Source organism: Homo sapiens, chromosome 8, assembly GCF_000001405.40.
Source record: "Homo sapiens chromosome 8, GRCh38.p14 Primary Assembly".
Lineage (NCBI taxonomy): Eukaryota > Metazoa > Chordata > Mammalia > Primates > Hominidae > Homo > Homo sapiens.
The window spans coordinates 34,519,242-34,531,094 of NC_000008.11; positions in this window are offsets into that span (position 1 = coordinate 34,519,242).

The window sequence follows — 11,853 nt, forward strand, 5'->3', positions numbered from 1 at the left end:
TTCCATCTCAAAAAAAAAAAGTCTGCAATATAGAATTCAGATACTGAAAGAATTAAAATAAATTTCCAAAATATGTATTACCATTTTAGATCTAAATTTTACAAACTTTTGTGTGTGCATGTGAGTGTGTGTGTGTGTATACATCGATACACACATATATAAATAAGCTCCTTGACTTACAAGGGGAGTTCTTACATCCTGATAAACTCAACATACATTGAAAATGTTGTAAGTTGAAAAGGCATTTAATACACCTAATATACCAAACATCATAGCTTAGCCTAACCTATCTTAAATGTGCTCAGAACACTTATATTAGCATACAGTTGGGCAAAATCATCTAACATAAAACCTGTTTTATGCTAAAGTTTTGAACATCTTATGTAATTCATTGAATACTGAAAAAGAAAAACAGAATAGGTGTATGGGTACTCACCATTAATGTACACAGTTGAAAGCACATTGGGCCTGAAGAATGATTGAAGCATTGGGCTAAAATTAATTGCTGGATGGTGGGGGCGCTACAACAACAGAGTCATCAATTTCTGTCTGTTCTGATAAAGTTCAAGAATCCTTCGTAGAAGGCATGGGGGCATCAACACTTGTTGATGGTTTAGCAGGTATAGCATCCTTTAGAAAGATGCCAAGTATTAGTTGTTCACCCTCCTGATCGCGTGATTGACTGGAATGTGTGGCTCACAGCAGCTGCCCAGCATTAAAAGAGAGTATCCTACTACTAGTCTGGGAAAAGACTAAAATCCAAAACTCTAAGTATGGTTTCTACCGAAGGCATTTTTTTTTTTTGCATCATCATAGAGTAGAAAAATTGTAAGTCAAGCCATCGTAAGTCAAGACCATCTGTATATATATTTTAAATAATGTTATACAGTGGTAATACATATTCAATGCCATAAAAATTAAGAGGACCAAAATGAAGAAAAATCCCCCTACTGTCTAGAAATTACCACTAGACATATGTGTATGATTATGACAGCAGTTAGACCAATCATCCCCAATTTTTTGTCTATAAAATTTTGTTTCCACTTTTTTTATTAAAATATGTCATGAAATTTTCTCCTGTCACACAGAATAGTTTTCATTGTATTTGGAATTACTACACAGCTTTTGATAATATGGATGTGTCATAAGCCACTTTAGTCACACCTACTGTTGGATATTTAGTAGCTTCCAAATTTTTACCATCATAATTTATACTGTGATAATTTTTCTTCTCTCTCTCTGTCTGTGTGTGTGTTTATGTGTGTGTATACATACATATATATGTATACACTATATATATGATGAATACCATAGAACCATACATATATATATATGTATACACACCCATATACACACACACTTATGAACTGTAGTACATAAAATGCTCATTTCTCAGTACTCTTAGAAACACATAATATTATAATATAGCATAATCTTTTTCAGATTCCTAAGTGAAAAGTATAAATTTTGAGGTCAGTGTATATTTCTTATTAGGAGTAAGTTTGAATGGTTTTTCAGGTCCCTAACATACATGTTTCTGTGTTTATATATTTCCTTTTTGGTTTATAGCACATTTCTCTATTACCAGTTTTTTTCTTCAAATTATATGTAAGAACTTGATATATATTAAGAATATACATTTTTCTTTTACATATTTTGCTGTTTTTTCAAGCTTACCATTTGTCATTTAACATTTTAATGTACACTTGACAATGCATCATTTTTAATTAGACAGTGATAGAGTGAAGAATATTGACCTTTACCTTTACATCTCCAATCTTTGATATTGTGCTTAGAAAATCCTTTCCAATCTCCAGGCCTGGTGGCTCACGCCTGTAATCTCAGCACTTTGGGAGGCAAGAAGGGTGGATCACGAGGTCAGGAGTTCGAGACCAGCCTGACCAACACAGTGAAACCCCATCTCTATGGAAAATACAGAAATTAGCCGGGCATGGTGGCACATACCTGTAATCCCACCTAGTCAGGAGGCTGAGGCAGGAGAATCGCTTGAACCTGGGAGGCAGAGGTTGCAGTAGGCCGAGATTGTGCCCACTGCACTCCAGCCTGGGCCACAGAGCAAGACTCCATCTCAAAAAAAAAAAAAAAAGAAAAAAGAAAACCCTTCCTAATCACATTTTACAACCATTTCCTAGACTTTTAGATACTTTAATGTGTTTTAATTTTAAATATTTTGAACAACTAAAATATTCTTGAGTATAAGATAAGCTTATAATAAAACAAATAGTTACTGAGGACTTATTAAGTGGCTAATGATATAGTGAGTCAGTTAGAGAAGTGAATGGATTCAGTAATGTGGCTTTGTTAATTGTCAGTTAGCATGTATTGCAATATAATGTGGAAATATTCTGTTTTCACCTTTAAAAGTGAGGATAACCACTATTCCACCAGAGCAGGCTAAAAATATTTTATCACTATGCATTTTACTATAAAACACTTCTTGATAAGGCTGAATGACACTAAAGCCACAGTCATTGTTCTTATTTACCCATTAATAAAACATTTGATTCTCTGTCCTCCATTTAATATTAATATGTATGTAGTTATGTGGAGAAAGCATTACTCACCAAAATTTTTTTTTTAGGAAAGCCTAGTTATAGACTGAAGAAATGCTTCCCTCTATAAACAAATATAAACCTGGACAAAGTGTGTGAGGCACCTGTCTGCATGCATTGAATAACAGGCAGTCCAGAATTGTGTTCCTTGAGAGATGGTGTACAGATATTCTGAGCCCAAAATATTTCCAGGCTTTCAACCCTGGAGCATGTTTCCTATCCTGGGGCAGGAATGGTAGAGTCAAAGGAGTGTTGAAGTCTCACTGAGCTTAGGAAGCGGAGTTTGAAGTGCTGAATTTTCAAGTGAAGTGGCTGGAACTTGCAGAGCAGAATGTTAGAAAGAAGGAATTTTCACCAGTTGGAAGGTAGCTGGCCAAGGAGTTCACATGAAGGTTTATCATGGATCCTTCATGGCAAATAGCTGGCTGTTCATAAGCAGGGAGGAATTCTGTAAGATGTCAAAAATCAGTATCTGCAGGTCTAAGACATAAAATGACACACCAGAAATAGCACAGGCCTTGGAGATGTTTGCATTCTGGCTCAGTGAAAGTAAAGAGACGTTGCTGAACCCCTGAGTTATTTAGCAGGGACATCATAATGACCACAGGACAAAGACTTAGGATTGAAGATAAATTTAAGTGAGCCCTCTCTAACAAAGAATTAAACTAAGTGAAAAAATTACTTAGTAAAACAAAACTTATAACCTTTTGACAGAAGACCGCAGAATCATAAATCCTTACAGCACATTATTCACAATGTTCATGTGCAATTCAAAATCAACACACATGTGAAGAAACTGGAAGATAGCATCCCTTCCCCAAAAAGCAGTCCATAGAAACAAAACATAAGATAAGCCAGATGTTGGGATTAGCAGCCAAGGACTAAAAAGTCACTGTTATAAAGATTTTCAAAGGCATAAAGGAAAACATAATCATGATGATAATAATAGATGGAGAATTTTGGCAGATAAATAGGAAGTATAAAGGAAAATTTATATCTGAAATTATTATATGTGAAAAGAAACATTCATGGATTCTCTTAGAATGGAAGACAGTAAACTTGATGACAGATCAATAGAAATAATCCACTTTGACATTTATAAAGCACCACATTTATCAACTGAAGAAGTCATATTCATTTTGATTCTAAATGGAACCAAGAAATATACTATATAATAACCCCCCCAAATATCGACGCATTTCAAAATATTAGAATCTTACAGAATATTTGTATAGTCTAGAGTGACAGTAATTTAGAAATCAAGAGCATTAAGAGATTTAGAAAATTCCCCCACATATTTTGAAGGCAAATGATACACTTCAGTGCAGGAATTGATTTCTCTGTCGTATGACGTTTCCATAATTTTTTAAGAATGTCCTGATTTTGTGGTACCATGAATTGTTCCAGATTTTTCTTATACTTTCCTTGCCCATATACAGGAATCAGAATTTTTTTCCAAGGACTCCTCATTCGTTTACTTATAGAATGGCGTTTAGAAGTCAAGCCCATTAGCACTAGAATGCCATTACTCTTTGAGCCTCTCAGCAGAGAGAATTACATATGCCTGTACATACATATAAACATTCATTTTTATATCCATCCATCTGTATTCACCTTAAAAAACATTGGTGTAGTTCTAACTTTTTTAATGATGTCAGAGACATCTTTCTTAAGTTCTAATTGCCTTCATTGTCGCCAACAATTAGACGGGAAGACCAGCTTTGCTCTTAATTTTAAGTTTGGGAAGGCAGCCCTTACTCTAATTTTGTTCCTTATTCTTTTCTTTTAGGCTCATCAGAAATATCCATACATTAAGCCAACCATTCAGATCTTTACAAAAGTGGATGGAATGTTGACGTACACACTGCATTAGGGTAGGTAAGTAAGTGATAAATAGCACAATGTGAAGTTCTACACTTTCCATATTCAAGCCATCCTCTTACCTACTTCCCAAGATAACTGATTTTTATTTGTACTTTTATTCTACTTCCTATTTCAAAAAAATAGAGGGTCTTTTGGCTGAACATCTATGTGTATATATCCCTGCTCCAGAAGAAGGTGTAAACCAGGCTGTCATCATTACTGATTATTCCATGTGGTCAGTTTTTTCCCTTGTCACTATTGTCATCACCTCGCCTCACACTCTCTCTTCATGCAACCATAAACCTCTTCTGCTCACATGCCTTAGCAAAATTATCGGTGGCCAACTAGTTGCTATCATGAGAATATTTCAGTTCTCCTCTTGCCCCACGTCTCTGCGGTATTTGATCGTGCTCTCCTTCAGAGCTGTTGCATGCATAGATTTTGTGCACATGGCTGTTATGAACTGCAGCACACCCTCCTTATTAAGATCCTCCTACCCCCACACCTCACACACCATAATCTTTTTAAACTATTCTATTCTTCCTTTGAGATTTCCTAGCTTTTCAAGTTGAAGGCTTTGTCTGACACAAACTTGAGAAGCACCCTGAATCGCTGAAGCTTGCATACTTTTCACATCTACCCTATGTCTAAATTCTGATAATCCTATCTATGGTTTCAAATTCATTCTCTCTTCTGTATCTGCATAGTCACTATCCTGAGGCAGGCAGTCATCACCTCTAGACTGGATTAGGGACTCCTCAATGTTCTCACTATCTTTCATTTCCCCCTAAATCCTATCCTTTACCCTGCCATCAATGTGATTTTATACTACATACATCTGATCAATTCACCCTACTGCTCAAAAAGTTTTCATGGCATTTCTTTGCTTACAAAATTTATATCTAAACTTTTCTGCAAGTTTTCTAATATTTTTGAGACTTGTCTGTTTTTTGCCTACTCCTTTTGACTGTTTAGAACCTCCTTGCTCTTCCTACTCCTCACTCGTTAGTTAGTGCTCTTAATACTCTCATTTTTGACTTCCATGACTCTGTCAATCTTTTTTGCCATGGGGTGAAATTCCTTAGGTTTAGGTCAATCACTTACCTGTGATGAGCCTACATTTACAAACATGTACATATATATTTCTAATCTGCATATGATGATCTTTGTATATTCTGAAAGGGATAAGAATGAACAGTTAGATGGGGAAGAGATTCCTTCTCTAAAAGAGAATGACCCTTTCAGCAAAGAAGAAAACTATATAGGGAAGTGGTTTCAGAGGCTTGGTATAGATGTAAAAGGGAGATTAGGGAAGGATATTAAAATCTGAGATTAGTTTCCAGTTGAATTTGAAAAAAATTGATAAATTTTCTTTGATTTGTCTTTGTCACCTAAAATTCACTTTGCAATTCTGAACAACAAGACACTGACCTCAGTCAACATTGGCTCTCTCTCTTAGGTTTTGCAGCAAAATTTCTTCCCCAACCCCCTTCACGCCACCAGGGTGGGATCTGTGGCTTGGTGTAATCCTAGCTATCGTCAGTTAATCATACCTCCTTAATTCATTTCATGGGCAAAGCATTAAGCACAACTGAACCTGTGATCACTTACATGCCGTTAGGCTATTTCTGCTTATTCAGCTCATCTTTTGGTTTTGCAGCCTTTCTCTTGAATACATTTCCTCTGAGTAGTTCTGGTTAAAACAAAACTTAAGGCAAACTAAAACAAGAGTAAAGCAAACTGAAGAGATTACGATTTAAAAACAGAGGAGAGGGTGATATGCCATATGGCCAGCTCAGCATGGCCTTATTGTACACACAAAAGCATTTTATAGTGGCTTCTATAGCATACAAACAGCCTTGTCCATGACTCCAGCTGCCTATTCCCCCAAATAGCTCCAGAGGGCATCCCTGTGAGACGGTATGGCATGTAGGGAGTTTGGCATTTGCTGGCGGGAGACAACCCCACACCAGAGTCTGAATCCCATAGTTTTCCAGGCTGTAGGGGGAAAGCAGTAAGTACTGAGAACCGTAGTTGTGATAGAGTCTGTAGCTTGGGGATTGAAGACTCTCCCAAAGTCTTCAATACACACATCACTGGGCCTGGTCTGAGGAAACAGCTGTGCTGTTAAAAGAGTAAGTGCATACTGCTGTGGGGCTTTTAATTGAAGAGGCATAACATTAGACCAGATGAGGACCCACCATAATTAGAAGACAGACTACTTAACGGCCAGTAGCCATGGCCTTGAATGGGGAATGGGAATTCAGCTACTTGGCATTTCTCTCACTATAGATCATAATGGATTAATTAGAAATGCACAAAGACAAAAACATGCCCAAGGTAAACATAAAGCCACATGGAATTGCACTGAACAGCATTATGAGCACTGCAGCCCAGAGTTTGCAGCACTCCCATCTGAGTGTTGGAATGAAGGCCATAACAAGCACACCCAGCTCTGTTCTGCCCTTTTACTGAGCCTTAAATTTGAAGAGGGGCAGCAGCTTCACAACCCAATCACGTTAGACTTCTACAGAAAGAAGATGCAGAACATATTCTTCCTCTTCGGTGCCTACGTCAACGATAGTTGTTTTATTTTCTTTCACCTTTCTTTCCTGCCACATCATTTCCTGGGCTTATTCTGCCTCCTGAAATAGCTAAATTTTTCACCTTGCCCACCCACAAAAGCAAGTTGATGGTTTGCAGATAGTTTTACACCATGCAGAAGAAAACACAGCCATTCTTTGCAACATCTCATTTAGTCTCAGGCATAGCAAAAATCATGTAATAGAAAGAGCAGGACTTGTGGTCAGGTTTCCCTGGATTCACATTCAAATACTGCAATGTACCAGCATAAATTATGTATTACTTATCTTCTGTTAAAATGGAGTTAAGGGACAACATACTGTGCAGGGTTGTTATGAGAAATAAAGAAAGCAACACCATCTAAAACACCCAACACAAAAGCACCTTACACATGGCCTGATACCTAATGAAAGTTCGGTGTCAGTTTCCTTTCTACTCAGTTTTTGGTATGAAGTGGTCAAAAGTGATAGGATTATCTGTCCATAATTGAAAAGCTGAAACATATTGTAAATCCTTCCTCTTAGTATAGCCCCAATTGCATATTTTACAACTGCCCTCAAGGAGCTCAACAGATGGATTTTAGCAGTTTCTTTCTGTCATTTATTGGAGAGGGAAGAGGTTAAGGAACACAAGATGACTGAAAAGCAAAGAGAATGAATTGATCTGCACACCTGATTGTTAATGCCTCAGTAAATGGTGGGCTTGGTTCTACCCTGTAGAGATATAAATGGCTACCTCCAGAAGTCACAGGTGTTTGTCACCCTAATGGCACTCAAGCAGAGGCCCAACAGACTCTTGGAAGACATTGTAGAAAGGATGTGTTTGTAGATGGAACATGATCTAAATGTGGACCTACAAGGTTTCTTGTGACTGGAAATTTGGTGCTTTTATCACTTGAGTCAAGCAATAAATAGAAGCATAGTCTTAGGAACTGAAGAATCAGAGGTCACTCTCTGATTATTTAGTGTTTTGTATGTAACACAGAGAGTAGAAGACTTCACACAAACTGACTTTGAATGATTTTTACCAAGTGTCTAAGTTATTTATAGTGGAAGAAGTCAAGTCACAAAGGCTCTGAATTACAATATGGAAGGATCATTTCTGGCTTCCAATTGCCTTGGAAATATCAGAGCGAATATTAAGAGCCATGTACATAAAGATTCTTGCAAAGATAGGACTTCATTTATGTTCTTGGTGGGGTCGGCTATGTCCCTTTAAGGTGTCTCATTAAGCGGAAATTTGACAAAACATCAAAGTCCAAAACTTGGGGCCAGAAATTTGTACTTTGTGAGTCTTGCATTGGGATGACTGTGATTTATCTCCAGGAGGTACTAGTTAAATTCAAATATGATAATTGGGAAAAAGAGAAATCAATACCTAGACATCTGTTTTTTAATATAGACTTTTTGAGATGAGAAGGCATGTACTGGTGCCAAAAAAATGTGCTGAAATTTAACACATTAGAACAGCCAGAAGAATATAAACTCAAATGTGTAGCAATTCAGGCCTACTGCCTTGGAGAGTGGAGAGGTTTAATCATGTCACTAGCAATATTTCTTTGGAGGATTTATATCACATTGGCTTTCTATTGTACCAGATAGATACCACTGTATATGTTTATTTGGCTTTTTTTGTTTATTTGAGACATGGGTAGATGCACAAGATAAACTATATAAAAAATGGATGATTTCTATCATTTCTTTTATTTATTTATTTATTTATTTATTTATTTATTTATTTATTTTTACTTGATCATTCTTGGGTGTTTCTCGCAGAGGGGGAGTTGGCAGGGTCATAGGACAATAGTGGAGGGAAGGTCAGCAGATAAACAAGTGAACAAAGGTCTCTGGTTTTCCTAGGCAGAGGACCCTGCAGCCTTCCGCAGTGTTTGTATCCCTGGGTACTTGAGATTAGGGAGTGGCGATGATTCTTAACGAGCATGCTGCCTTCAAGCATCTGTTTAACAAAGCACATCTTGCACCACCCTTAATCCATTTAACCCTGAGTGGACACAGCACATGTTTCAGAGAGCACAGGGTTGGGGGTAAGGTCACCGATCAACAGGATCCCAAGGCAGAAGAATTTTTCTTGGTACAGAACAAAATGAAAAGTCTCCCATGTCTACTTCTTTCTACACAGACACGGCAACCATCCGATTTCCCAATCTTTTCCCCACCTTTCCCCCCTTTCTATTCCACAAAACCGCCATTGTCATCCCAGCCCGTTCTCAATGAGCTGTTGGGTACACCTCCCAGACGGGGCGGCTGGCCGGGCAGAGGGGCTCCTCACTTCCCAGGAGGGGCGGCCTGGCAGAGGCGCCCCTCACCTCCCGGACGGGGTGGCTGGCCGGGTGGGCTGACCCCCCCACCTCCCTCCCGGACGGGGCAGCTGGCCGGGCAGAGGGGCTCCTCACTTCCCAGTACCTCACTTCCCAGTAGGGGCAGCTGGGCAGAGGCGCCCCTCACTTCCCGGATTGGGCGGCTGGCCAGGCAGAGGGGCTCCTCACTTCCCAGTAGGGGCGGCTGGGCAGAGGCCCCCCTCACCTCCCGGACGGGGCGGCTGGCCGGGCGGGGGGGCTGACCCCCCACCTCCCTCCCAGATGGGGCGCCTGGCCGGGCAGAGGGGCTCCTCACTTCCCAGTAGGGGCGGCTGGGCAGAGGCCCCCCTCACCTCCCAGACGGGGCGGCTGGCCGGGTGGGGGGCTGACCCCCCCCCACCTCCCTCCCGGATGGGGTGGCTGGCTGGGCAGAGGGGCTCCTCACTTCCCAGTAGAAGCGGCCGGGCAGAGGCCCCCTCACCTCCCGGACGGGGCAGCTGGCCGGTGGCTGACCCCCCCCCACCTCCCTCCCAGATGGGGTGGCTGGCCGGGCAGAGGGGCTCCTCACTTCCCAGTAGGGGCGGCTGGGCAGAGGCACCCCTCACCTCCCGGACGGGGTGGCTGGCCGGGCGGGGGGCTGACCCCCCCACCTCCCTCCCAGACGGGGCGGCTGGCCTGGCGGGGGCTGACCCCCACCTCCCTCCCGGACGGGGTGGCTGCCGGGCAGAGACGCTCCTCACTTCCCAGACAGGGTGGCTGCCGGGTGTAGGGGCTCCTCACTTCTCAGATGGGGCGGCTGCCGGGCGGAGGGGCTCCTCACTTCTCAGATGGGGCGGTTGCCAGGCGGAGGGTCTCCTCACTTCTCAGATGGGGCGGCCGGGCAGAGACACTCCTCACCTCCCAGACGGGGCCGCGGCCGGGCGCTCTCACATCCCAGATGGGGCGGCGGGGCAGAGGCGCTCCCCACATCTCAGGCGATGGGTGGCCGGGCAGAGACACTCCTTACTTCCTAGGTGGGATGGCGGCTGGGAAGAGGTGCTCCTCACTTCCTAGATGGGATGGCGGCCGGGCAGAGACGCTCCTCACTTCCTAGACGGGATGGTGGCCGGGAAGAGGCGCTCCTCACTTTCCAGACTGGGCAGCCAGGCAGAGGGGCTCCTCACGTCCCAGACGATGGGCGGCCAGGCAGAGACGCTCCTCACTTCCCAGACGGGGTGGCGGCCGGGCAGAGGCTGCAATCTCGGCACTTTGGGAGGCCAAGGCAGGCAGCTGGGAGGTGGAGGTTGTAGCGAGCCGAGATCACGCCACTGCACTCCAGCCTGGGCACCATTGAGCACTGAGTGAACCAGACTCCGTCTGCAATCCCGGCACCTCGGGAGTCCGAGGCTGGCGGATCACTCGCGGTTAGGAGCTGGAGACCAGCCCAGCCAACACAGTGAAACCCCGTCTCCACCAAAAAAGTACGAAAACCAGTCAGGCGTGGCGGCGCACGCCTGTAATCGCAGGCACTCGGCAGGCTGAGGCAGGAGAATCAGGCAGGGAGGTTGCAGTGAGCCGAGATGGCAGCAGTACAGTCCAGCTTCGGCTCGGCATCAGAGGGAGACAGTGGAAAGAGAGGGAGAGGGAGGCCGTGGGCCGTGGGCCATGGGGAGAGGGAGAGGGAGAGGGAGAGGATTTCTATCATTTCTTATTTGAAAAGAAGCTAGATGGACTAATATATTCCAGATCTATGTATCAAGTATCAGTAGCATTTCATGTTAGCAATTTAATAAGGTACCAGGAAACTCCTCTCCTGTATCTCTGGATATATGTCTATTTTCGGTAATAAAGACTGGGATACAAATTGAAATTTACATGGAAGAGTTTAAACATTAAGTCAGCATTAGTTCTTCAAAGTTTGTGTACGCTTATTCAAAATAAAAATTGTACTAAACCACTAGATAATGAGTCCCAATGAGAAAGTAGGCACTTGAATTGAATATACACAGAATGGAAAATTTTAGAATTCAGGAACTTGAAGGAGCTGGTACTGTGGGTATTATTTGCACAATCTGGGTAGAGTTTTAATAAACCAGTGGTATCATGTGTGCTTTAGCTCAGAATATTCCTAGGGCAAAGGTGAGAAGACAGGATATCCAGGTTCAGTAGGATGTCAGAGGAGGGACAGAAAAGAGGAAATAGGAAGGCCTAGAAAACACATCTTAACCATTTTAATGAACTTTGTATCTTGACTCTGAACTGTGCAAAGAAAATCATCTTCTCTATTTTCTCTGGCTTTCCAGAGAGTGGCTATTTTGATTACAGATTTTTTAAGTGTGGCTGCTACACACAGAGATGAAGATTTTGAGTCTACAGTCACGCGTGGCCCACTGCCCAGCTCCTACTCTACACTCTCAATGTTCCACAGGAGCTCTCCAGCACACACACACTCCCTAATAAGTGCAGATGGACAGCAACTCCCTTTAACGCTGCTTGACATATTGTATTTATACAGGTGGAGACAGCAGTTAAATAAAA